The sequence below is a fragment of the Homo sapiens genome, chromosome 5 (genome assembly GCF_000001405.40).
Source record: "Homo sapiens chromosome 5, GRCh38.p14 Primary Assembly".
NCBI lineage: Eukaryota > Metazoa > Chordata > Mammalia > Primates > Hominidae > Homo > Homo sapiens.
Window position 1 is genome coordinate 134,525,631 of NC_000005.10, and position 24,167 is coordinate 134,549,797.

Here is a 24,167-nt window from a genome sequence, read left to right on the forward strand (position 1 = left end):
CTAAAGAGATCACAAGGAAGTCTTGGTTTAAAAAGAAACAGAAACATACACAGGGGGTTGGTGAATGGTGCCGACCGCGGCCATCGCAGTTGGAGGCTATTTTTTGGGGGGGGTGAGTAGCGTCCATGGAGTTACTTTGCGCCCACTCCTAGCGGCACCGGCTTAGGTCCTGCGGGCCGACCGTCCCCGGCGGGGGGCGTGGGGCCTGGGACGCCGCGGGCCCGGCCGCCTCCCTCGCCGCGACCCCGGATGGATGCGCGCCCCCCGCCCTCCCGCGCCGGCCCCAGGAGCTCCCGGCTTCGGGAGCATCCTTCCCGCGCCGGTCCCTGCAGCGGCGCGTAGCCGAGGGCAGCGCCCGTCAGGGGGGCACCGCGGAGCAAGGTAAGATCCAGCCCCCGGCGGATGGGCCCTGCGCATCTCCACGACGTTATTTGGCGTTTTTGCAACAGATCTGCCAGCGCTCTTCGCTCCCTCGCTCTCTCTTGCTCGCTCGCTCCCTCTCTCTCCTGCTGGCTGCCTGTTCTAGGAAGCCAGCGCGGAGAGGGGGGGGATGCACAGCACAGGGGAGAGAGATTGCGCATGTTGGTCAGTCGTGTTTTAAAGAGTACAGTGCGGGGAGGCTGAGAGGGGCGCATGCAACAACAACTTTTGGAAGGGTGAGCTTGGCGACCTTCTTTATTAATGACTGCGGCAAAGCGCCCCCGGGCCGGCGAGGGGGCGCGGGCGGGCGGGGGCGCGCCAGGGCTGCAACTTCCCCGCGGGCTCCGGCCGGGCGTAGGGGCTGCGGCGGGAGATGGGTACGGTGGGGAGGTCGAGCGGCCCGGGCGGGGGCTCCGAGAACCTGGAGCTATCTGCCCTCCTGTCTCCCCGAGTTTCATTTTGTTGATACGCAGCACGTCCGGGCGCCGAACCGGGCTGAGCCGGTGCACATGACCTCGCGCTGGGCTCACGTGCAGCCGGTCCGGTCCCAGACACCTTCCGGGGGCCACCGCCTCCGCCCTGTCGCCCCCTCTCCCGGCCCGGTGCACGCGGGCGCTGCACGCGGGGGCAGCATGCTCGGCTCCTGGGGTTGGAGGCTCTGCACAAATTAGACAGTTTTTTTGGAGGGGCGGGGGACACCCTTTCCAGGTGAGTGTGGAGGGTGCGGAGCCTCGGCGCCAGGGGTGAGGACTGGGGTCGGGGGCAGCCTCCACCTCCGGGGCCGCGCGGTAGTCCAGCTGGGGAGAGGCGCTGGGAGAGTGGAAATGTACCGGCGGCGGCCGGAGCGGCGGGTGCGCGCCCGCGGGGCGACGGCAGGGGGCGTGGCCCTTGTTTACCTTCTCCCAACTCTGCCGGTTCGCGTCCCGCTTCAGGGACGGATCCGCAGTCCCCAGCCCTCTGCCTAGGGCCCTGCACCATGGGTGGTACCAGGAAGATGCCGGCTTGTGGCGGACCCCGTTTGGGACGCACACACCTGACTCTCAAATGAGTGACATTGCAGCCCCCGCCCCCACCTAGCGCTGCTGCAGTCCCTTTGCCGGATCCCCGGCCCCGCCCCGCCCCCGGCAGTGGCATCTTCCCGGCCTCACCTCCTTCCTCCCTCTCCCTCCCTTCTTCCCACCCACTCGCCTGCGCCTGCGGAGCGGCGCCCGCCCGCCTCCTCCCCGCCTGGGTGCAGACTTGTGGCTCCCCATGGTTTCTTCCCGCCCATCCCTGGGTCCTGAGACATCCTCTCCTCTCGGCCAAGGGACGAGAGGGGTCAACTTGGCGATTCGCAGCTGTTCTGCCAGAGGATGGGGTTGCCTGCGAGACAGCCAGGAAGGCTTCACTCTAGCTTCCAGAGGCCCAGCCCTGTCCCCTACTACACACAGCTACCACCCCACCCGCCCCTGGGGCTCGGCTGCCCTTCCCGGTGTCTCTTAAACCCCTCCCCCGACCTGGGTGTTAAGCCCACCCACCTCCCGGCGCCGCCCCCGGTCGAACAGCCTCTTGCCCTTCCTTCGCCTGGGCCGGAGCCCCCCGCAGCCTCCTCCGGCTCCTCCTCCCGGCTCCGGCGGTCGGAATCACGCCGGCGCGCCTCCAGCCTGCGGTCCCGCGGACTGCCTCCAGGGGCGGGCTGGAGGCGCGCGCAACTCCCCTCCCAATCCCCTCAGCCACTGCCGCTGGCCTGGGCACTTTTTTACCAGCTTGGCTGCTGGCCTCTTGCTGGAGGCTGGGGGAGGTGAAGGGTCACTGGGTGTCTTTGCCGTATGCCGAAGGCACACTGCGGCCGGCGATTCTGGTCTCTGCAGATTTCCAAACCTCGCCGCTGCGTCTAGCACCCCTGGGTCATCTTCTGCAGGATCCCGAGGCACAAAGTTGTATCCCGGGTCAGAGTTTGTAGGGGGTCATCGAGAGGTGTCATGTTTCCATTCAGAGCGGTTCCAAAGCGTCTAGGAAGGGGCTGAGTGGGACCTGCTGCCTTGCCTTTGTTGGAAGGAGGACCCCTGAGCTCTGATCCCAGACAGGCTGTCAGGACGCCCCCTTAGCATTTATGTTTGCAAACTGATTCCTGGACCTGGGAGGTGGTAGGGCCGCCTGGCCCCTCCTCTCGGAGTGGCATTAACTCCCTCCCTTCACTGGTAAAATTCCCAGTAGGACATTTGGCAAAAGGGCTCGGCATGGAGCTGCCAACCGGGCCTGGCTTTGTTTCCTGGGTTCCCAGGGCTTCTCCCCTACCCTGACTTTCTTTCTCACCTTAGGGCCCCAGATGAACGCACCGTCCGTCTTGTCCCATCTTCCTTAGACGGGCTGGGACTCGCAGAGCCATCTAACAAGCAGAGGAGGAAAATAACAACAGAATAACTATAAGGGGGAAGGAATGAGTAATAAAGCTGACCCAGGCAGGGAGGAGGGCTTTCATGTTTAAGAGATGCTATTTGCTTTTTGGGTCACAGGCTGCAAAAACAGGCTTTGATCCGAAGTGGGCGAATAATTTATTGAGCAAGTTTGCATGGTAGAGGAAGGGATGTTTGTTTGATCTGGAGCCCTCTAGGTTGCCCCAAGTGCTGTTGGCTGTTGTTTTGAGTGGAAAAGCATTTGGTTCTGCAGCAAATGCCTCACAGAGGGAAGTCCTCGCCCCAGGCAGCAGGACTTGCAGTGAATATTGGTTTTGAAATTGTTTGGCCAAGGGTCCCCCCATCACTTTTGGAGATGAAGTGTTTAAGGATAGAGTTGTTTGGGCTCAGGATGCAGCAAATGTTTCCAGAATGTTTTCCCGTCCAAAATGCTTTTCCTTTCCCTAAATTGCCTGGCTAAAGGGCCAGTAACAGTGGTCCAAGAGGTTGTCAGAAATCTCCACTTAGCTTTCATGGACTGGTGAGGTGGGACTGCCAGTCCCCAGGTCCTAGATGCACCACGGAGTATTGACACTGTATAGGCCCTGGACACTGACCCCCACATCCTTGAGGTTGGGAGGCAGGGTGTTCTGGCTCTAACCTAGTGTTCCTCTTAACAGGAAGGCAGTTGTCTTATGCTCATGACACAGGTAAGAGGCTTCTAGTCCAAATTCTTCATGGCACATGCAGCAGGCTTTTTGGGACCTCACAGTTCTCCCTTTAGGTTCTCTGATGGGGAGAACAGGTCAGAGTTGGGGAGCAGGATACCCCTGGCTTGCCCTGTCCTCCAGATAGGACCCTTACCATGTGGCTCAAAAGCTTACAATTGTAGGTCTGCTCAAAGCTCCTTTCAGACAGCCCATAGGAATCTAGAATACCCATACCCTGGAACTTGTAGGCCTGTACACTTCAGCCCACTGGAGATGGGGTACACCTTCTGGAGTCAGACAGCCTAGGTTTGAATCCTGGCTGTGCAGTTACCAACTGTCATAATGGCTCTATACCTCAGTTCCTTCTGTTACAAGGAGCACTTTCTGCAAATGGGATTAATAACAGTACCTATCTCATAGTGGATGTATAGAATAAGTGATTACCTAAAAAAGACTAAGCCCAAAGCAGGCATGTGATAAGCACGTGATTAGTATTAGTCATCCTTATTATACCTGGGGAGGGTCCCCGATGCAGCTTGGACCTTTGATCTCTCACCTTTAGGCTAGGCCAGAGAGCCAGCTCGCTTCTCTGCAGAAGGGATCAGAAGGATCCTGCAGGTGCCAATAGGCAGCCGATATGGGAGCGAGTAGACGGAGCTCTGCCCTCTCTGGGGCAAAGAGTAGGGTGAGAAGGTTCTGAAGAACAAAGTAGACAGAGCCTTTTCATTCTCCCACCATCCCCTTGGTACGTCCCCAGAACTGGTCTGGAGGGTGGGTGTGGCAGCGTCTTCAAGGGGAGCTGAGTCCCCTCTGGGACACTTGAAGTTGCAGACAGGCAATGGCTGGTGTTGCAGGAGGGTTCAGGCTCCTCTAGACTTGGAGAAGCAGGTCCAGGAAGCCGACTGGAGGATCCCAGGCAGCAGCCCTCTACTCTGTATACAAAATCATTTTTGTAACTGCAATTACTGTCCCTGAGAAGGCATTAAAGTTAATGAGAGATAGGAAAGAGTGGGGCTGTGACCCCGGTTTAAAGCGGTTTAAGAGTGTGCAGCTCTTGTTTTCTGAATGTCTGGCCTTCCCAACACAAGGAGGCTCTGAGGACAGGTTTTCCAGCCGAAATATCATTAAATTGTATTAGCATCTTATTACACACACGCCTTAGCGGTCTGCCTCAGACAGGGAGAGTTTTTGTTTCTCTTTGAAAGATTGTGTCTGGAATGGTAAATTGCCTGCTTGAAAGCCCTTTTTTCCCCTTTTTTTAAAGAAGAGGACGAAATCCTGCTGTGTGGTGGCAGGCAGGCCAGGCCTAGTGGCCCCTGGAGAGGAGAGGCTGGAGGCCAGGTTGGGGTGTTTTAACTGCCCAGGGAGTGGCTGCAGTGGCAGGCCTGAAAGGCCCACTGTTCCCAGGGTCAGCTGGAAGGGCGTTAATGGAGGCCCAGGGTGTTTATTTGAGTTTATTTGCAGAGAGGTCTTTAAAGGGGGCTGGCATTGGGCATTGGTGTTTTAAGTCCAGACCTGAGGCCCTCACTAAGGCCAACCACTAGTGCTGCCAAGAAAACATCTGCCACCAAATTGCTGCCCTATTACTGAGTTGACATTGATCATTAGCCAGGAGCCCAACCAAATAAAGCCTCCTGGAAAATGTGTGAGGTTAAGACGGGGAAGGCAGGCTGTGAAAACAAGGGCGAAATCTTGGGCCAGGGTGTTTGTTCCTGCAAGCCACAGGCAGGCCAGCTGGACTGTGTGGTCCCGACACTTCTTGGGGGAGGGAGCGAGAGCACACTCAGCACTCCCTAGTATGTCACTGGGGTTCTGGCTGGAGTCTAAATGGAATGCTCCTTACTCTTCATGGAATATACATTCCCAAGGAGAACGACATGCAACAAGTAGCTCAACAAGCACAGCTGGGATGGGTATTCCGTGGACACTGGGTGGTGAATTTCTTCAGATAGTGTGATGAGCATAGACTGACATGGGCCACACTGAAGCTTAAACCTGAAGGTTGAAAAGTCAGACATGCATAGACCACATAGAAGAATATTCCAAACAGAGTGGAGTACAGCGTGTGCACAGGGCTCGAAGTATGGAATATTTGGCTTGTTCAAAGGAATGAAAGGAGCCCAGCATGGCTAGAAGGTGGTGAGGAAGGGGATAGTGGTCAGTATGAAGCTGTCCAGGTGGCAGGGGCCAGATTGTGTAGGGTCTTGTGGTCAGGAGCTTAGGCTTTGTCTTTTGATCTATGAAGCCTTTGAAAGATTTTCTTAGGGGCATGATATGATCTGATTTATGCCTTTTAAAATTTTTATTTTGTTCTAATTTTTTTTAGAGATGGGGTCTTGCTGTGTTGCCCGGGCTTGCCTTGAACTCCTGGGCCCAAGTGATCCTCCTGCCTCTACCTCCCAAGTAGCTGGAACTACAGGTGCATATCACCATGTCCAGCTTCTGATTTATACCTTTTTTTTTTTGAGACAGAGTCCCACTCTGTTGTCCAGGCTGGAGGGCAATGGCACAATCTCGGCTCACTGCAACCTCTGTCTCCCAGGTTCAAGCAATTCTCTTGCCTCAGCCTCCAGAGTAGCTGAGATTACAGGCTTCCGCCACTAAGCCTGGCTAATTTTTGTATTTTTAGTAGAGACGGGGTTTCACCACATTAGCCAGGCTGGTCTCGAATTCCTGACCTCTCAAGTGATCCACCCACTTTGGTCTCCCAAAGTGCTGGGAATATAAGGATGAGCCACCGTGCCTGGCTTTTTTTTTTTTTTTTTTTTTTTTTTTTTTGAGACAGGGTGTCACTCTGTCACCCAGGCTGGAGTGCAGTAGCATAATCACAGCTCACTGCAACCTCAACCTCCTGGCCTCCCACTTCAGCCCCTTCAGCAGCTGGGACCACAGGCACACGCCACCATGCCCAGCTAACTTTTGTATTTTTCATAGAGTCGGGGATTTGCCATGTTGCCCAGACTGATCTTGAACTCCTAAGCTCAAGTGAGCCACCTGCTTTGGCCTCCATAAGTGCTGGGATTACAGGTGTGAGTCACCGCACCCCGACTGATTTATGCTTTTTAAACATCACTCTGGCAGCTGTGTGGAGCCTGGACATGGGTGAATTGATACTGGAAGCTGGGAGATGAACAAGTGGTTCAGGCAAGAGATGAGATTGGCTTGGACCAGTGTGGTGATAGTAGGAAGAAAGTGGGTGTGTTCTGGAGGCAAAGCCTAGTGGACTTGGTGGGGCCGAGGATACAGAGAGGCTGTGGGCTTTTGCTTCATTGAGGGGACTCTACGACACCCACACTTTGAAGGAGAGCTTCCTACCTGTGTCTCCATGCTGGGGGTTGCATGAGAGGTGCCAATAGACTAGTGCAAATGGCAGGAAAATGAGATCTTTTCTTTCCTAAAGTCTCCTTTATAGGTAGGATTTCGGGAGCACTTTCTGTCCTCGAAAGCAAGTGCCTTGTGACACTGAAATCTTCTCCCACAGCAGACCTTGCTTTGGGGGAGATGGGGGAAGCCAGTGGAAAGGAAAAACCAGAGGCCAAGATCACATCTAAGCACCTCCACCCCCCAAGTGTGTTTGCAGTCCTGGATTTCAGCTTTGGGAAAGGAGTCCTCCCTGTCCCTCTTGCTGAGGTTGCGAGGAGGGTGATCCATGGGGCAAAAAGCTGACATAGTGCGGTCCCAGGCCTCATTAGCCACTGTGACAGTGGGAGCTCGCTGGAGCAAGGAGGCCTTTGGAAGACTTGGTTTAAAGGAAAGAAGCTGCACTCACAAAACAGTGGCTTCCTTCTCAAGCCTAGTTGTTATAACAATTAAGCCACCACAAAATCTGCTCCCTTAATAATAGCCTCCCATGGGACAGCCCTGACCCAGAATAATCCCTAGGCACTCTGGGGTGTTTTGTGGAGGACAGGGTTAGATGGGGAATTGGCTTGGTGCGGGGTGTAGGTCTGCATGCTGTCACCTGTTGGTCTCTGGGCAGTCAAGGAGTCCTTTCGAGGGCACCTTCCTTACTGTATAGGGTCACTGCCTCTTTTTTAGGAGCCCCTCCTCCAGGACTTTCCGACCTGGTCCAAGGCTGCCATGGTATTACTATCTGGCACCCATATGGATCTCTAGCCACTGTGCTGAGGGCTTTACACTGTTCTTATTTATTCTCACCAGCTGATTCTGGCCCACAGATGTGTTTAGTTTGGCCCTTTCAAAGTGTTGTAAAAATTCTGACTCAGTTGCCAACATTTTAAATTAAGGACATTTATGTAAAAAGCCAGTTCCAGTTTATCTCCTCTGGGAGGTATGTCTTTCCCAAGGTCCCTGGTCTATGAGGAGAGGAGCTAGGATTTGAACCCATCAACAACTTCTGCTTTTAATACTGTGGGAGATGCTGGCTCGGAAGTACCTTCTTTGCAGGAAATGAAGAGAAATGGAATTCGCTTACAGGATTGCAAAAGAAAATGGGTGGGTGCACTTTTAGCACCTCCCCCCCACTCCACCCACCGATGTCAGGACAAAGCTGGGTTGCGCTGGGCTGGGCTGAGCTGAGGAAGACGTAGGCTAGAATCAGGAGTCAGGATTCTGTCAGTCAGCCTTTGTCACACTCTCTCTTTTTTTTTTTTTTTTTTTTTTTTTTTTGAGATAAGGTCTTACTCTGTCGCCAAGGCTGGCGTGCAGTGGCACGATCATGGCTCACTGCAGCCTTGACCTCCCTGACTCAAGCTATCCTCTCACCTCAGCCTCCTGCATAGCTAGGACCTCAGGCATGTGCCACTACAACTGGCTAATTTTTAAATTTTTTGTAGAGATGAGTCCCCCTACGTTCCCCAGGCTGGTCTCGATCTCTTGGGCTCAAGAAATCCTCCAGCCCCGGCCTCCCAAAGTGCTGGGATTACAGGTGTCGCACCCTTGACACGCAGACTCTGGAAGGCAGTGAGGGTGGCAGCTGTGGGTTGCTGAGCTGTTTGTACTCTGCTGCGCAGAGACGGAGAAGTCAGAAGGTCAAGAGCACGGTCTCCTGAATCAAATACAGTCACTGACATCTTGGGCAGGTCACTTAACCTCTGAGCTTCAGTTTCCTCCTCTGCAAAAGGGAAGCAGCCATGATATATGCCTATAACAAAGGGCTGCTCTAGGGACTCGTTGAGGTCCCTGTGGACCCTGTGGAACCCCCTCCCGCTACTGTGAGCGCTTAGCAGTCTTAGCCATCCTTGTTCCTGCGTTTGTGCTGCTTGCACCACCAGTGTCCCTTGGAACCTCAGCCTCTGGAGGGCACTTTACCGGCATCTTTGAAGCTGGGCGGCAGGCAGCCTCAATGAGCCTTCCTGCCATCCTGGTCCTGCTGGTGGTGGGCACTGGGGTAGAGAGAAGCTCCCGGCTAAGATCAAGTCCAAGGCAGGAGGGCCATCCTGGTCAGCTGAGAGATCTGGGTGTTCACACCCACCTTAGAGAGCAGATGCTCACTAGTCTCTGCAGGGCTGCAGTAAGATGGTGGCATCCCAGGGCTCAGCAGGAATGGACTGGGGTTGGGGGCAGCTGGAGTTAGGTGCAGATGGGCTGGGCAGTGGGGCTTTCTCTCTACTGACACAGACTCCCTCCCTATCCTTTGCTGTGGGGAGTCAGTCAGGGAACACAGGGGAGCGTGCTCTGAACCCTGAGCCCCCAATGTGTTCCCACATTAGGACTCAGCCACAGGCGAGCTGTAAGACCCAGAGCAGGTTAACGCATCACCTGCTGTGCTCCCCTCCAAGGGGATGAGAGCAGGCTCTGCCACCTGGGACTCGTGAGGATTATAGGAAACAGTGGTGGGAAAACACTTTCAGCAGCCAGGAGCTGATGGAGGGTAAAAAGGCAGCTCAGCATGCGCCTGGGGATCAGACCTCATGGATTCAGTCCCATCTCAGCCACTTACTAGCAGGACAAGGTGCTGGCCTCACTTGTAAATGGAGCTCACAGCTCACCTGGTTAGGAACAGGAGATGATGTGGATAAAGGAAGACTCCGCGTGAGCTCAGTATGAGGCCCCTATGTGAGAGTTGTCCTTAATACCTTGAAGTTAGATGTTGCAGTTGAGGTAGAGTTTATTTGTACGTTTATCTGGGAAGGATGGTGGGGAGTAGGAGGGCAGGGTAGCCCAGCCCAGGACCAGTCACCCTGGGCCTGATGTGTCTCAGGGACCCAGCCTGGAGTGTCCCCCGCCTCTCCCCCGCTTCTGTACACTGCTGACCACCACTCGCAGGACTAGGCCCTCAGTGTTTTCTGTGCTGGCTTGTCCCTAACTTCCGACAGCATGGTCCTCCTGGAAGAATCAGTCTTGTTTGCTGTCCTCTACCCACCTACCTCCCTAGAGGACTTGTGGCTCAGGAGGCCTTTGCAGTGGTGGGCCTGAGTGTCCTTGGGTGGCAGCTGGGACTGGGCAGGTCATGGTCACTATTCAGTTTGGGCTTGCTGATGCCCCCATGTCCTCTCCCTCTACAACAGCTTTGGTTAGACCCTTGCTCAACCAAGGGCTCTGGGCTCAGGAGGTGGGAGATGCAGCCTTTTAGAATCCCAGGGCCTCTGTGGGTGGGTGGGAGAGGGTGGTGCTGGCAGAGAAGAAGGCTAGGACAGGGCTTTATTCTTATCTTTCTGCAGTGTCATAAGTGTGGGGAGGTTGGTTATGGGGTGATTTTCTGAGAGGTTGAGGATTTCCCAAGCCATCCGTGAGTATAATGGGCTTGCCTTTTGTTGCAGATGGAAGAGAAGAGGCGAAAATACTCCATCAGCAGTGACAACTCTGACACCACTGACAGTAAGGCCTTCCAGTTTGGGCTCCTACAGGGAAAGCATTTGAACAGTGATCAGGCCCACAGGCCCAGATGGGAGGAGGCTGCCCTGTGGTCTTAATTTCACTAAGAGGCATGTTGATGAAAGCATAAATCAAGTCAGGTTTCTCCACTCCTGCCCTTCCACTTCTAAAAAAGTCCCTGCACCTTCCGTGACCTCCAGGGCCTTGTTCTCCCAGCTGTACTCCCCCTTATCCTCTAGGTCCCAGCTCCATTTGTTTTGCTCTGGTTGGAACAGATCGGCTCCACTCTGGGCTTCTGCATATATTAAGTGAAGGTCCATATAGAAAGTCTGTATACAACAGATACAAAACCAGTCACCTTTTACCATAATTACCGGATAAGTACCATTTCCCAATCAGTGGTAAGCTCCTTGATAAGAGGTCTCTTGTCTTGCTTACCACTATATCCCCAGCTACGATCTGGCACATAGTAGATGCTCAGTGAATGTCTGCTGAACAAATCAATGAAGATACCCAACCTTCATAGAATCTTGGCAATAGAATCCCAGAGGTAGACTTGTGTATGGATTGGCATGTCAATTGGACGTGATGGTTGCGGGGAGGGGTGCGTGGATTGCACTATCAAGCAGCAGAAGAAGTTTAGGGAGCCCCCCTGAAATTTGGAGAAGAGAAGGGAGGTTTATGCAAAGTGAGGGCTCTGGTACTAGGTCATAAGGCAGCTCTTCTCGGGTGCCCAGAAAGCCAGGCCTGCCTGTGCTTGTTGGAGTAAGGAGTTCCATCTGCTGTGGGTAGGAGAGTTGTGCTGCCAGGAAGATCTCACCTAGCAATGATTGCCCTGCTGGAGGCCCAGGCTAAGGAAGAGGCTGCCCTGCCAAGGAGGCCGGGCTTGGAGCTGTGCAACTCTAGACCTGTTTCTTCACACTTATGAGCAAGTAAGATTAGGGGGCTTGCCAAGGCCCCTCCTAGCTCCCAGAGTTCCACAGCCCCCACAAAAGCCTAAGGGTAGATCCACTAGGATGGCCAAGGAGGTCTCAGCCCCATCCCTACCTCCAAGTCTCATTTGTTGTCCTTTGGGCTCTGTTTGCTCAGTTTGGCTCTGGCGTCCCACCTGGCCAGCCCTTCTTCCCTACAGCAGGAGATCACAGCATCTGGCCTTTTGTGGCTACAACATGCTGCCTGTGGCCTGGCTCAGTGGAACCAAAAACCACATCCTCCATTTCTAACTTTATTGCAGGCAGAGGAGCCCTTTGAGAGAGCCAGGTACCTGCAAGGCTCCCCACCAGCCCCCTCCACTGTGCCCACCCATGGCTGCTACTCCTATTCAGCCAAAACCATAGTGTTGCCCTATTTCTTGCTGCTCCTTTGATTCATAAGGGCGGAGGCCACAGCACTGTCATCCAGCAAGGGCCTTAGACCCTAATAATTATAGCTAATGTTTATTGAGGAATCACTCTGTGCCAGGGACTGTGCTGAGACTTTACAGGCATGATATCACTTATTCCTCACCACAGCCCTTTGAAGATAGTTATTCTTTTGCCCCCATTTTACAGAAGAACAAACTAAGGCTCAGCAAGATTGAGTCATTTGCCTGGGGTGACAAGCTAGTAAGTGGCTGGGTCAGGGCTCTGCTGATGACCTGGATCTGCTTCAGAGCATCTCTCTTCCCATTGCCCTGCTCTGCCTCTGAATACCCACTGGCATCATCCCAGAGTATTTGGACAGTACCTAACCTGGGGCAGGGTGGAGTGTGGGCATGAAAGGCTTATTCCAGCTGTCTTTGAGCAGAGTCCCACAGAGGGCCAAGGACTTGTCTGGGGTCACACATTAAACTAATACTGAGCCCCAGTAACAGCCTTTGATTTCTCCAGCCTTCTGGTTGGCGAGTAGAGGAGGCTTCATGTCCCCATTCATCAGTGGGGAGACTGAGGCCCAGAGCAGGGATACTAGGTCTCACAGAGGTTTCTCCCTCATGAACATTCTAGCCGGGGCTTTGCTTAGAAGCTTCCTATTCTTGGGCATGAGTGGGTGGTGCTCCTGGCCCTCCAGGACCCCTAATGGACTGTTCTCTCTCTGCAGGTCATGCGACATCTACATCCGCATCAAGATGCTCCAAACTGCCCAGCAGCACCAAGTCGGGCTGGCCCCGACAGAACGAAAAGAAGCCCTCCGAGGTGGGTAGTGATGAGCTTCCCAGAGATCTGTGGGGAGTGAGAGTGAGCTGCCCTGCGGAGACTGGGGCAGAGCATTCCTGGCAGAGGGCACGGGCAGTGCAGAGGGAGGCCAGCGTGGCCGAGTGGAATGAAGGGGAGTAGGGGCCAGTTTCCCTCAGCCTTCCAGGTTGTTGTGAAGATGTTCCTATTGAACTGAGCAAGGGGAGAAGCCTTTCAAGGATCTCAGACAGGGTAATGACACAGCCTGATGTTTTAGTGAAAGTTCCCCCTGGCCGCTGTGAGAGAAGGGAGAGTTGCAGTCATCCAGCAGGGAAATAGTGGTGGCTTAGAGCTGGGTGGTAGCAGTGGAATGAGAAGCAGCAGGGTTTGTGACATTTTGGAGGCCGAGCCAAGAGTGATAAGGATTTGCTGGTGCAGGGATAAGGGGTGGAGTCCTCAGAGCCATCCAATTAGTCATAGGTTCCTTATACCCATTTCACAGGCATCTGCATTTGAAGCCTTCCTTACTTTGACCTGGGATGTTTCTTACAGCAGGTAGAGGTTTATGGCCTCTGGAACTGAGAAGCGCACTGGGGGTGGGTAGACTCCTGGACACCTGGACCCTCCTTCTGGGGTCCCTGAAAACTCCCACCCTAGGGCCTTATTGCTCCTTCTTGTAGGTCTTCAGTGCTAATGCCACAAGGTATTCATTGCACTGACCACAGAAGAAGCCTTTGGCACAGATGGGGCTGCAGAAGCTTGGAGAGATGGAGAGATGGAGGGTCTTAATCCTGGCTCTTTTTTTTTTTTTGGAGACTGAGGTTCTCTCTGTTCCCCAGGCTGGAGTGCAGTGGCATGATCTCGGCTCACTTCAACCTCTGCCTCCTGGGTTCAAATGCCTCTCCTGCCTCAGCTTCCCGAGTAGCTGGGATTACAGGTGCACACAGCACACCCAGCTAATTTTTGTATTTTTATTTTTATTTTATTTATTTATTTATTTATTTATTTATTTATTTTGAGATGGAGTCTTGCTTTGTTGCCCAGGCTGGAGTGCAGTGGCGTGATCTCGGCTCACTGCAAGCTCCGCCTCTTGGGTTCACGCCATTCTCCTGCCTCAGCCTCCCGAGTGGCTGGGACTACAGGCGCCCGCCACCACACCCGGCTAATTTTTTGTATTTTTTTAGTAGAGACGGGGTTTCACCGTGTTAGCCAGGATGGTCTCGACCTCCTGACCTTGTGATCCGCCCGCCTTGGCCTCCCAAAGTGCTGGGATTACAGGCATGAGCCACCGCGCCCGGCCTAATTTTTGTATTTTTAGTAGAGATGGGGTTTCACCATGTTGGCCAGGCTGGTCTTGAACTCCTGACCTCAGGTGATCCACCTGCCTCGGCCTCCCAAAGTGTTGGGATTACAGGCGTGAGCCACCGCGCCCGGCCAATCCTGGCTCTTAAGTAGGACACTGTACTACAGCCAAGAAGTAGCCAGGCACTGGGGCTGGACACTCCTTTTTAATCATTAAAACTAGCCCAGAATTTCTCAGTCCTGTTGAAAATAAGGAAAGTGAGGATCGCAAGGTCATTTAGCCAAGACCTTAAATCCTTGGGGCTCACAATGCCAAGGGCAGAAAGGCCCAGAGTTTGGTGGCGGGGCCCTCGTCATGGGTTGGAGAGGATGTCTTTGCTCCATGCTGGCCCCTCCTCTATGCTACCTCACCACAGATGCAGTCCTGGCTCCACTGTCTTTAGCCAGCCCTTGGAGGGGGGCTTCTGCAGAGGCTTGCATCTGAAAAAGGACTCCGCCTTGCCTCCTCCAGGAGCTGCCCTCCTCTAGGACTCTCCCCTGGGGAGGTGGGGCTGGGATTCTTTGAGACCTGATGCCCCATCCCCCAAGCCTGACTTCCATGGCCCCATGGTGGGTAGGGTATAGACAGTGTTTTCTCTGGGAATGCTGTTAAGAGAGGGGAATGCAGTGCTGGAGGTGAGGTGGAGGTGGGGGTGGGACAGTGTTGAAGCTCTCACTGCCCTCCTGGGGTAGCCCTGCTTGGTAGGGGGATGGGATGTGCTTAAGCGCAGCCAAGGAAGCAAAAGGCAGGTGGGGCCTTGGGGAGCCCTGCTGGCTCTTGGTTGTTTGGGACCTTCCCCACCCTCGGTCTTTTTTTTTTCCTTTTTACTTTTGAGACAAGGTCTCCCTCTGTCACTCAGGATGGAGTGCAGTGGTGCAATCATGGCTCACTGCAGCCTCAAACTTTCAGGCTCAAGTGATCCTCCCATCTCAGCTTCCCGAGTAGCTAGAACTACAGGTGCACACCACTATGCCTGGCTAATTTTTTTTTTTGTCTTTTTTTTTTTTTCAGTAGAGACAAGGTCTCACTGTGTTGCTCAGGCTTGTCTCAAACTCCTGAGCTCAGGCGATCCTCCCACCTTGGCCTCCCAAAGTGTCAGGATTACAGGCATGAGCTACTGCGCCTAGCCTCACCCCAGTCTTGAGAACTACAGGGACTCCCCAGTTGCTGTGGTTGAAGTAGTAAAACAGTAGCTACCTTTATGTGCCTTCCTGGTCCTGGAAGGCAAGAATTGTCGTGCCCATTTCAGACATGAAGAACCTGTCTTTCGAGAATCCCACCTATCTCCTGTTTGTTGTAGCTGTTCAAGTTGAAGTGGGATGGGGAGTTTTGGGGAGTTCCTAGGGTTGGCTTATCTCCTTGACTCCAGGGGGAACTTAAGCCAGTCTCCTGCCCTTGCTCTGCTTCCTCCAATCTCCAGTGGGAGGATGGGCCACCTCCCAGGCGCAAGGCTGCCATCTGCACCAAGGATCAGGCCTGCCTGGGAGGAAACAGGTGTCAGCGGAGGCTGAGAAGAAAGAGCAATTTGCATGGGGCAGAAAATTCCCCTGCCTCTTGGGTTTTCCAGCCCAGAGCCTTTGTACCTTTCCACACCTAAAAATAGTCAAACCCATTGTACAAGTATCGATGCCCAACCCTGCTGGGGACTAGCTCCACGTGGCCCTGGGTCCAAGCCCAGGAGCCTCCGCAGGCTCTGAGGTCTGCCTGGGAGACACCTCCCCACCTCAAGTCCTGGGCTCTAGAAGGGCCAATGAAGTCCTCCCCGCCCAGAACCCTTGAACTGTTGCCCAGCACAAGCTTTTCCTCCCACAGTAGGCTGGAGAGCAGCCTGAGAGGTTTTCCTAGTCCTCTAAGTGACAAGGTTGAGCCGTGGCCGGCATAAATTCCAACTTATCTTGGGGCAGAGAGGAAACCATCAATGAACGCTTCCAAGTTATTTGGCTCATGAGAGGGCAGAGATGAAAGCGAGGATTTGGCGGCAGAGAATGTTTGCACTAAATCTCACGGACTGCTCTCTTCTCTTTCTGTGAATGGCTTGGGCGGGGCCTTTATGGTCTGCTGAGCCTGGGCCTTGGATACCCTGGTGAAAGGGGTTCTGGGAGCCCCATCTACTCAATCCCCTGGAGTATGAAGCCTATGGGGTGGCTGTCAGGCTGGTCATGTGGTTTGCTTAGTGTGGCAGGAGTCCCCAGTGGGAACACTTACGGAGTGATGTGTGTGCTGTGGAAAGCCCCTCCTTGGTGGCTGCAGAGCCATGGAACTCGTGGTTCACTTGTCTCCTCATCTCTAAATGTGGGCAATGATGGGGTGGGGGACACAGTGAATCCAACAGCTATGAAAGGGCTGGGGTTGGGTTTGGGTGGGATAGGCAGGGATGCCCTTTGATGACCTCTCAGGGGCTGCCCTTTCCCAGTGCACCCTAAGGGCGCAAGCCAAGGGGCACTCTACAGCAAGTGAGGTGCCTCAGGGCTGAAGAAAGCACTTGACCAGGAGTCAGGACCCTGGACAGGGCTAAGGCCTGGAGGCCCAGCTTCCCATCTGGCCCTTGCCCAATGGCTGGCCCTTCCCTCAGCCAGAGTGAAGGGGGAGTGAGTGCGGGCCTCCGAGCTGAGAGCTGAAGGCATGGGCCCTGGGATTCTTGGGAGGCTGGGCTAGGATTTTTGGTGGAAGTGCGCAAAGCCTGAAGTCTGCCCTGGGAGCTCCTTAAGGCAGTAGAAGGAAAAGGTGGAGCTGCCCCTGAGAACTCAGCCTGCTGTCTTCTGCTGCCTATGGCATCCCAACAGAGCTATCTATCTTTTGGCCCTGAAGTCCTGAGCCTGGCCTAGGGAGCTAGTATAATAATTTACACAATGAGTTTCTGGCCTTGCCTGGCTCACTAAATGGTGTAGCCATTGTTAGTGCTTAACCCTTTGTGGAACACATCTCTGAGAATCTAATGGAATTTACAGAGCAGAGATTATTGTTTTAATACCACCCCACCCCAGGTATTCTGACTTACATGGTCTGGAGTAGCACCCTAGGTACCTATACCTTTTTTTTTTTTTTTTTTTTTTTGAGATGGAGTTTTGCTTTTGTTGCCCAGGCTGTAGTGCAATGGTACGATCTCAGCTCACTGCAACCTCTGCCTCCTGGGTTCAAGTGATTCTCCTGCCTCAGCCTCTAGAGTAGCTGGGATTACAGGCATGTGCCACCACGTCCAGCTAATTTTTGTATTTTTAGTAGAGACAGGGTTTCTCCACGTTGGTCAGGGTGGTCTCGAACTCCCAACCTCAGGTGATCCGCCTGCCTCGGCCCCCCAGAGTGCTGGGATTACAAGCGTGAGCCACCATGCCTGGCCTTTTTTTTTGAGATGGAGTCTCACTTGGTTCCCCAGGCTGGAGTGCAGTGGTGTGATCTCAGCTCATTGCAACCTCCACCTCCTGGGTTGAAGAGATTCTCTTGCCTCAGCCTCCCGAATAGCTGGGACTACCGGCACTTGCCACCATGCCGGGCTAATTTTTGTATTTTTAGTAGAGACGGGGTTTAGCCATGTTGGCCAGGCTGGTCTCAAACTCCTGACCTCAAGTGATCTGCCTGCCTCAGGAAGTGCTGGGATTACAGGCATGAGCCACCGCACCTGGCCAGTACCTGTACTCTTTTTTTTTTTTTGAGACGGAGTCTCACCCTGTCGCCCAGGTTGGAGTGGAGTGGTGTGATCTCGGCTCACTGCAACCTCCATCTCCTGGGTTTAGGCAATTCCCCTGCCTCAGCCTCCCAAGTAGCTAGGATTACAGGTGCACGCCACCATGCCTGGCTGATTTTTGTATTTTTAGTAGAGACAGGGTTTCACCATGTTGGTCAGGCTTGTCTTGACCTGCCCTCGTGATCCGCCCACCTCGGCCTCCCAAAGTGCTGGGATTACAGGCGTGAGCCACTGTGCCCCCTAGTACCTGTACTTTTTTAACAAGACCTGCTATTGGGATCCAGGGTTAAGAACAACTGCCATAGGCCCGGTGCGGTGGCTCATGCCTGTAATCCCAGCACTTTGGGAGGCCAAGGCAGGCAGATCACTCTAGGTCAGGAGTTCAAGACCAGCCTGGCCAACATGGTGAAACCCTGTCTCTACTAAAAAAAATTTTAAAAATTAGCTGGTCATGGTGATGCACACCTGTAATCCCAGCTACTCAGGAGGTTGAGGCAGGAGGATCACTTGAGCCCAGGAGGCGGAGGTTGCAGTGAGCCGAGATTGCACCACTGCACTCCAGCCTGAGCTACAAAGCAAGACTCTGTCTCAAAAACAAAAAAAAGCAAAAAAAGCAAAAAGACAACTGCCATAGACTTTTCCCTTCCCTTTGCCTAAAACAGGAGTTCCTGGCTTGGTTGTTCCCTGGAAGCTTCTTTGAGTATTTTTGAGGGGGTGGGGAGTGGAAGCTGTGGCTAGGTTGAAGGAGAGGGAGGGAGGCTCTCCAGCCTGGTTCAAAGATCTAAGCAACGTCAGGGAGTGTGGGTGGGGGCAGTCCACCACTCCATGTCCTTCCCACAGGGGCTGGGGAATTAACAAATTTTTGCCCCACCCCGGACTTGCCGGAGGTGTGAAGGACAGTTCTGGGAGAGACCTGGAGGCCAGCCGCATGTTTTGGAGGGCTACTGTTTGAGGTAGTGTCCTCCTCTGGCCTGGGCAGAGACACAGGCGGAAGGGCAGGCCAAGCGGTGGGGGTTTCCCCAAGCAGGCTGTCTTGAGGTAGAAAGCTGCATTTTCAGGAAGTCAGAGTCCCCAGAAGTCAGCCAGTGGGCAGAGGCCTGGGTCTCTGGACCGGGAGCTGCTGATGCTGATCAAAATCAGCAAGTGCTTAAGAGTACCTAGTGGGCCTAGCTCAGTGCTGGGGACAGAAAGCACAGGCCCTGTCCCTGGGGAGCTTGTCCTTTGTCAGCAGGATGCAGGTGCTACACAGGAAGGTGTCTGTTATGGGAGGTGCAGCCTGGCTTTGCCAAAACACCCAGGCTTTGCCCGAGGACATCTGTGACCCCAGGCGAGTGAGCCTCAGAGCCCTTATCATAGAGTTCTGCCCTGGGTCCTCCCAGGGAGTTGATGATCTGTAGATGTGACTCCTTCCCGAGACTCATGGAGCCCTGGGGGGTGAAGGGAACCCCAGAGGTGAGTGGGGCAGGAGGTGGGGAGTGTCGGGTAAAGCAGGCCACCCTGAGCTGGAAGCCTGGATGGTGGGAGTGGGGATTCAGCTGTCAGCTCCTCTATAGGCTGTGGTGACAAATTAGTACATCCCTAGTTGCATGTACCACTGAGGCCCTTCACCAATGTGTAGCACTTAGTCCCTGGGGAAGGGGCCTGAGAGAAGCCTCTGCTGCCAGCAAGAGGGTGTCCCCCAGACCCAGTGTCCTTGAAAGTCCCTCTATATGGAGTGCCACCCCCCACTCCCCCAAAAAACACAGCGAGTGGAGATGCAGCTTCTTAGCTCAACCCATGCTTTTAAAAATGGAATCCTCCTTCTACCCTGGGTGAAGGGTAAAGACAGGGGTGGCCAGATTGTGTTGGGGCTCCAAACCACAGGATAAATAAGATGCCTTCTGAGGAGCAGAGGTGTTATCCAGATGTTTGAAATGCCATTTTATAGTAGAACAATGAAGGCGTATGGTACAGTAAAATGCAAAATGCCCATAATTTGATAGATAAAACAGGAGAATCCAAAAAAAGGTTTTGTGCTTGCCCTTGTGGTTTTGAGCCAAGTTTCCAGCCCACCAGCAGTTCCTTTGCTACCCTGTGAGGCAGGCGGGTTGGGGCGAGCCCTTCCGCTAGGCTAAGTGCCTGCTTTCTGAGACTCACACTGCCTTTCTCTGGGGTGGGGGGCAGGATCCACTTCTATAGTTGGAAACGTTGCTGCTCCGCCAGCTGGAAGGGCCTCCTGGCCTCTGGGACTTGTCTTGCAAAAGAAATGTGTGTAATAAATTCTCTTTAAGAGCAGGAAGTGCTGTTATCCTCATGAAAATAAAAGAAAGAGACGTTGAGTGGGGTTTTTTTTTTTTTAAGTGTCTTACGAACTTAGCCTAGTGGTAGCTTGCAACACAACTGGGCAGGGGGTAGCTATTCTCATAGCCCTTCTTTCGTGTTTTATACTGAATTTTAACTGCATAAGTTTGCTCTTGGCTGGGAAACTCTTTATCAGGTTCCGGCCCAGAAAAGATTTTTTAAAAGAAGAGCCCTCTGTGTCTTGCAAGCAGTATTGCTGTGGTTAAAGGACAGTGGGGACCTCACACAAGTGGTTTCACCTTTCTGAATCTCAGTCTCCACATCTGTAAAATGGGGGTAATATGAATTAGGAGCCACGATATATGTAAAACTTTAACATAATACCTGACATGCCTTAACAGGGCAATTACCTTTCTCTGTTAGCTGTCATTTCTAATGAGATGAGGTGCTCAGAAAACAATTGTGATGAGGTTGGCTCTTTAAGTACAGACCTTCAAACTTTCCTTGAGGGGTGAGGAAGAAGGCACCACTTCCAGCTCTACGTTGGGACTTTTGGTGTAGACAGATGTCCAGGAGAGATTGTCCTGGCCAAAGCCATTTTAATTGGCTTTGGGACAGTGACCAAGACCAGTTTCTCAGTTTCACCTGGAAGAATCCTGCCAGCCTCCTGCCTCTTCTCTCCCTGCTAAGACAGGGCAGGAAAGTTTAGTCATACTTCATACAAATCCTGGGATTCATTCATTCATTCATTCACTGACTCTTTACACAAGCATTTCGTTTTTTGTTTTTTTGTTTGTTTGTTTGTTTGTTTGTTTGTTTTGAGACAGGGTCTCCCTCTGTCACCCAGGCTGGAGTGCAGTGGCATGATCTCAGCTCACTGCAGCCTCTACCTCCTGGGCTCAGGCAGTCCTCCCGCTTGAGCCCCCCAGGTAGTTGGGACTACAGGCAAGCCACCATAACTGGCTAATTTTTGTTCCACAAGCATTTCTTGAGTACCTGCTGTGTGTCAAACACTGTGCCAAAAGCAGGCACAGTGATAAACAGGACATATGCAGTCCCTGTCTTCTTGCAGCTTGACTATTAGAAGAGATGGACATTAAAAATATAATTGCACAAATAGGCTGGGCGTGGTGGCTCACACCTGTAATCCCAGCACTTTGGGAGGCTGAGGTGGGTGGATCACTTGAGGTCAGGAGTTCGATACCAGCCTGGCCAAGATGGTGAAATCCTGTCTCTACTAAAAACATAAAAATTAGCTGGGCGCGGTGGCCGGTGCCTGTAATCCCAGCTACTCAGGAGGCTGAGGCAGGAGAATCGCTGGAACCTGGGAGGCGGAGGTTGCAGTGAGCCGAGATCACACCACTGCACTCCAGCCTGGGTGACAGAACGAGACACCGTCTCAAAAAAAAAAAAATGTGTATATATAATTACACAAGTAATTATATTTTGTAGTGTGGTAACTGCTGGAGCTTTTCTCTTAAGTAACTAAATTTCCTCTTGGTGCCTCTTAGTTTGAAATACTCTGTGATACAGTAGTTCACCCCTTGAGAAAAGGAAGCAGAGAACCAAAGTCCCAGGATGAAGTGTTCAAATCTTAGCTACAAATCTTGAGATTGTATATTAAACCTTGTAGCCTGGTGTCTACTGGCCATGTGGTTAGTGCACAGTGAAAGTTGCCTTTTGTCACTATCTTTATTTGCTCTTGGAGGTCACTCATGCTCTGCTTTCTTGCAGAGTTCTTCCTAGGGAAATAGGTACAGAAAGCTAGACTTTTGAATGGTTGTGATCTGCAGTCTCAGAAAAAGACGTGAAGGCAAGGCCATGTGATGTGTTTCTGGAGAAGCGTCCCTACATCTGGGCAGAGCAGACTCTTTAGCCCCCTCCAGGGCTGCATTGGCACCCCTAGCACTCAGATTGGTGATTCAATTAGAGTTTGAAGCCTTTAAACATTTCTTCATACTGTTTGAAGAAGCTACAATTAACATCTCCTAAGCAGCTCAGCAGAACTTGGTTGCTAGGCAGCAGACCTTTAAAGACAATTTGTCAATTTCTGCCAAAAGAGAGAAAAATAGTAAACATTCACATTCTAAGAAAATTGCTTGTTTTCCAGCTTCCAACTTTCTTGCCACAGCAAGGCTTCTCGTTCATCAGTGTCCATTTTATTCTTTATTTAGTTTTCATAAATCATTCAAAGGAGTTTTAGGAGAACATTTAAGCCTTTTCCAAGCCTGCCTCCTGGAAATTCAACACAAAATGATGTTTAGGTTACAATTGGCTGCCATATTTGTGGGCAGTTTTTATATAAATGCACAGAGGCTCTTTTGGAAGGCATGGAGTACCCAGCTGTAGTCTTGGACAGCAACCAAAGAAGGAGGTGGCTGGCCCATGGAAGGATCTTGAGTCATTCAAGATTTCTCAGCACCTAGCATGTGCCAGACCCTGCTTGCACTGCTGGGCTCCAGCCCTGCGGCTCAGCCAGACCTCATTGAGCTCCCCTTCTAGTGGGGAAGACATGGCAAAAAACCAGGAGATTCTAACACAGGGGCCGTAGAACTTCAGACAAAGCCCAAAACCCAGCCTAGGATTGGGGAAGCCTTCCTAGAGCAGATGTGGGCTGGACTGAGACCTTAAGGATGAAGTGTGCCAGCTTTACTCTGGCAAGGGAGTAGTGTCCCAGGCAGCGTTCTCCCGTGTGCAAAGGGTTAAATGTGCTTGGGAGACTGCAAGTGCATCCGTGTGGTCACAGGGCCTCATTGGCTCTGCAGTTCAGTGTGGGCACAGTGGGAGGACAGTGGAGAGCGACTGGAGGCCTCGGAACTTGCAAAGACCACAGTCGGATTTGCATATTTCAACCCTTGGAGAAGTCACCTGATTTGGCATCAAGTTAACTCAAGGGCATTAGGCAGTGAGCACATGGCCAAAAGGGGCAGGAGTTGTGTTGGCCTGGGTTCATTTGCCACTTCCAGCACGCACACCTTGGGTGGGTGATTTAATTAACCCGAGTCCCAGGTTTCTCAACTGTAAAATAGGGATGATGGTAGTACTTACCTCACAGAGTGGGTGGAGGGGCTAATAATAGATTAATTCAGGAACAGCGTTTACACTGTCACTCTGCACACAGTCTCTGCAAGCATGGGCTGACACCATTAAGACAGTGCTGCCCTCCCTGTGCGTCCATGATTCCTGCCTGCTAGAGCCCGTAGTGTCCAGTCTGCCACCTGCTCCCTGCATGACCCAGGATGAAACGTGGAACTCTCTTGGAACGAGACTCTTTTGTCTTCCCACAATCTCCCTAACTGTAGTGGGAAGGGACTCTGAAGTTGACCCTGGGAGCCCTTCCTGCCCTGAGTTCTCAGTGCCAGGCCTGGTTCTGGGTCTGGACCACATCTTACCAGCTGGTGTGGTGGGACACTCTGGTCTCACCCACTCCAGCCTGGGCTGAATGCTGGTCCTTGAGCTTAAAGCCCAGCAGAACAAAGGCTGCCTGTTGCTCAGAGGCGCTTGTTCAGGTCCATGTGTTTGGGGATTTTGGCCACTGGGTATATCCATGAGGTATCTCATCCTGCTTATGGGGGTTCAGAAAGCACTGCCAGGAGCCAGCTAGGGGCCTCAGATTCATCAGAAAATTCCCCAGAGAGGCCCTCGTATGCAGTGCCAGGCACTGAGAATATAGCCGACAGCAGGACAAGGCATGGCAGGGGAGATGACAAGAAACCAGCAATGTGAGTCGACCAGGTACTTTTCAGGAGTGTAAGTGCTGGAAAGAAAATGAGGCAGGGGTGAGATGGAAAGTGGCTCAGTCAGGCAGTTGGCACTCCCTCAGTTGGTGATCAGGAAGGAATCCCTGAGGAGGCGACAGTTAAGTTACAGCCCAGGGCCGGGCGCGGTGGCTCACGCCTGTAATCCCAACACTTTAGAAGGCTGAGGCAGGCAGATCATTTGAGGTCAAGAGTTCAAGACCAACCTGGCCAACATGGTGAAACCCTGTCTTTATTAAAAATATAAAAACTAGGCCAGGTGCGGGTGGCTTACACCTGTGATCCCAGCACTTTGGGAGGCCAAGGTGGGTGGATCACTTGAGGTCAGGAGTTCGAGACCAGCCTGGCCAACATGGTGAAACCCCGTATTAAAAATACAAAAATTAGCCAGGCAAGGTGGCGGGCACCTGTAATTCCAGCTACTTGGGAGGCTGAGGCAGAAGAATCGTTTGAACCCAGGAGGCAGAGGCTGCAGTGAACCGAGATTGTGCACCTGCACTCCAGCCTGGGCAACAGAGCAAGGCTCTGTCTCAAAACAAAAAAAAAAAGTTACAGCCCAGGATGAGAGAACAGCAAAAGGTTTCTAACCCACCTATGCCTCTTTAGAGGGCACATAGTGACACTGGGCTATTGTAGGGTTGATTTCTGGGGCAGAATGATGCACTGTCCCAAG

General features: G+C 52.8%; 1 protein-coding gene across 26 annotated transcripts in view, besides 17 other annotated features; it reads left to right on the top strand.

Annotated features, from left to right (window-relative positions):
- The window catches only part of JADE2 (jade family PHD finger 2), a 59,219-nt gene that overhangs the window by 1,622 nt on the left and 33,430 nt on the right, over positions 1 to 24,167 (top strand). For 7 of the 26 annotated variants that reach the window (NM_001437916.1, NM_001437914.1, NM_001437915.1 and 4 more), the window contains exons 2-3: positions 10,228 to 10,285; positions 12,359 to 12,453. In NM_001437916.1, coding sequence (NP_001424845.1) covers positions 10,228 to 10,285; positions 12,359 to 12,453 — 153 coding nt within the window. Of the gene's footprint in view, positions 1 to 39; positions 382 to 477; positions 657 to 1,001; positions 1,129 to 6,253; positions 7,961 to 10,227; positions 10,393 to 12,358; positions 12,454 to 24,167 lie in introns of those variants that run through there. The other 19 variants (NM_001289985.2, NM_001437917.1, NM_001437923.1 and 16 more) reach the window with 7 other exon arrangements.
- Positions 130 to 209: a silencer, noted in NCBI's record as "silent region_16361". NCBI's record gives its function as "represses an Ori minimal core promoter by ATAC-STARR-seq in GM12878 lymphoblastoid cells {active_cell/tissue: GM12878}" and the evidence as "EXISTENCE:reporter gene assay evidence [ECO:0000049][PMID:35858748]".
- Positions 240 to 499: a silencer, noted in NCBI's record as "silent region_16362". NCBI's record gives its function as "represses an Ori minimal core promoter by ATAC-STARR-seq in GM12878 lymphoblastoid cells {active_cell/tissue: GM12878}" and the evidence as "EXISTENCE:reporter gene assay evidence [ECO:0000049][PMID:35858748]".
- Positions 510 to 1,629: a silencer, noted in NCBI's record as "silent region_16363". NCBI's record gives its function as "represses an Ori minimal core promoter by ATAC-STARR-seq in GM12878 lymphoblastoid cells {active_cell/tissue: GM12878}" and the evidence as "EXISTENCE:reporter gene assay evidence [ECO:0000049][PMID:35858748]".
- Positions 1,990 to 2,049: a silencer, noted in NCBI's record as "silent region_16364". NCBI's record gives its function as "represses an Ori minimal core promoter by ATAC-STARR-seq in GM12878 lymphoblastoid cells {active_cell/tissue: GM12878}" and the evidence as "EXISTENCE:reporter gene assay evidence [ECO:0000049][PMID:35858748]".
- Positions 6,824 to 7,324: an enhancer, noted in NCBI's record as "H3K4me1 hESC enhancer chr5:133868144-133868644 (GRCh37/hg19 assembly coordinates)". NCBI's record gives its function as "activates a minimal SCP1, AML or CMV promoter by ChIP-STARR-seq in primed H9 embryonic stem cells {active_cell/tissue: H9 hESC(primed)}" and the evidence as "EXISTENCE:reporter gene assay evidence [ECO:0000049][PMID:30033119]".
- Positions 11,933 to 12,486: an enhancer, noted in NCBI's record as "H3K27ac-H3K4me1 hESC enhancer chr5:133873253-133873806 (GRCh37/hg19 assembly coordinates)". NCBI's record gives its function as "activates a minimal SCP1, AML or CMV promoter by ChIP-STARR-seq in naive H9 embryonic stem cells {active_cell/tissue: H9 hESC(naive)}" and the evidence as "EXISTENCE:reporter gene assay evidence [ECO:0000049][PMID:30033119]".
- Positions 13,180 to 14,111: an enhancer, noted in NCBI's record as "H3K27ac-H3K4me1 hESC enhancer chr5:133874500-133875431 (GRCh37/hg19 assembly coordinates)". NCBI's record gives its function as "activates a minimal SCP1, AML or CMV promoter by ChIP-STARR-seq in naive H9 embryonic stem cells {active_cell/tissue: H9 hESC(naive)}" and the evidence as "EXISTENCE:reporter gene assay evidence [ECO:0000049][PMID:30033119]".
- Positions 14,112 to 15,042: an enhancer, noted in NCBI's record as "NANOG-H3K27ac-H3K4me1 hESC enhancer chr5:133875432-133876362 (GRCh37/hg19 assembly coordinates)". NCBI's record gives its function as "activates a minimal SCP1, AML or CMV promoter by ChIP-STARR-seq in naive H9 embryonic stem cells {active_cell/tissue: H9 hESC(naive)}" and the evidence as "EXISTENCE:reporter gene assay evidence [ECO:0000049][PMID:30033119]".
- Positions 15,043 to 15,974: an enhancer, noted in NCBI's record as "H3K27ac-H3K4me1 hESC enhancer chr5:133876363-133877294 (GRCh37/hg19 assembly coordinates)". NCBI's record gives its function as "activates a minimal SCP1, AML or CMV promoter by ChIP-STARR-seq in naive H9 embryonic stem cells {active_cell/tissue: H9 hESC(naive)}" and the evidence as "EXISTENCE:reporter gene assay evidence [ECO:0000049][PMID:30033119]".
- Positions 15,153 to 15,392: an enhancer, noted in NCBI's record as "active region_23148". NCBI's record gives its function as "activates an Ori minimal core promoter by ATAC-STARR-seq in GM12878 lymphoblastoid cells {active_cell/tissue: GM12878}" and the evidence as "EXISTENCE:reporter gene assay evidence [ECO:0000049][PMID:35858748]".
- Positions 15,403 to 15,482: an enhancer, noted in NCBI's record as "active region_23149". NCBI's record gives its function as "activates an Ori minimal core promoter by ATAC-STARR-seq in GM12878 lymphoblastoid cells {active_cell/tissue: GM12878}" and the evidence as "EXISTENCE:reporter gene assay evidence [ECO:0000049][PMID:35858748]".
- Positions 17,971 to 18,070: an enhancer, noted in NCBI's record as "active region_23150". NCBI's record gives its function as "activates an Ori minimal core promoter by ATAC-STARR-seq in GM12878 lymphoblastoid cells {active_cell/tissue: GM12878}" and the evidence as "EXISTENCE:reporter gene assay evidence [ECO:0000049][PMID:35858748]".
- Positions 18,171 to 18,400: an enhancer, noted in NCBI's record as "active region_23151". NCBI's record gives its function as "activates an Ori minimal core promoter by ATAC-STARR-seq in GM12878 lymphoblastoid cells {active_cell/tissue: GM12878}" and the evidence as "EXISTENCE:reporter gene assay evidence [ECO:0000049][PMID:35858748]".
- Positions 18,501 to 18,770: an enhancer, noted in NCBI's record as "active region_23152". NCBI's record gives its function as "activates an Ori minimal core promoter by ATAC-STARR-seq in GM12878 lymphoblastoid cells {active_cell/tissue: GM12878}" and the evidence as "EXISTENCE:reporter gene assay evidence [ECO:0000049][PMID:35858748]".
- Positions 18,831 to 18,930: an enhancer, noted in NCBI's record as "active region_23153". NCBI's record gives its function as "activates an Ori minimal core promoter by ATAC-STARR-seq in GM12878 lymphoblastoid cells {active_cell/tissue: GM12878}" and the evidence as "EXISTENCE:reporter gene assay evidence [ECO:0000049][PMID:35858748]".
- Positions 19,191 to 19,530: an enhancer, noted in NCBI's record as "active region_23154". NCBI's record gives its function as "activates an Ori minimal core promoter by ATAC-STARR-seq in GM12878 lymphoblastoid cells {active_cell/tissue: GM12878}" and the evidence as "EXISTENCE:reporter gene assay evidence [ECO:0000049][PMID:35858748]".
- Positions 22,823 to 23,822: an enhancer, noted in NCBI's record as "H3K27ac-H3K4me1 hESC enhancer chr5:133884143-133885142 (GRCh37/hg19 assembly coordinates)". NCBI's record gives its function as "activates a minimal SCP1, AML or CMV promoter by ChIP-STARR-seq in primed H9 embryonic stem cells {active_cell/tissue: H9 hESC(primed)}" and the evidence as "EXISTENCE:reporter gene assay evidence [ECO:0000049][PMID:30033119]".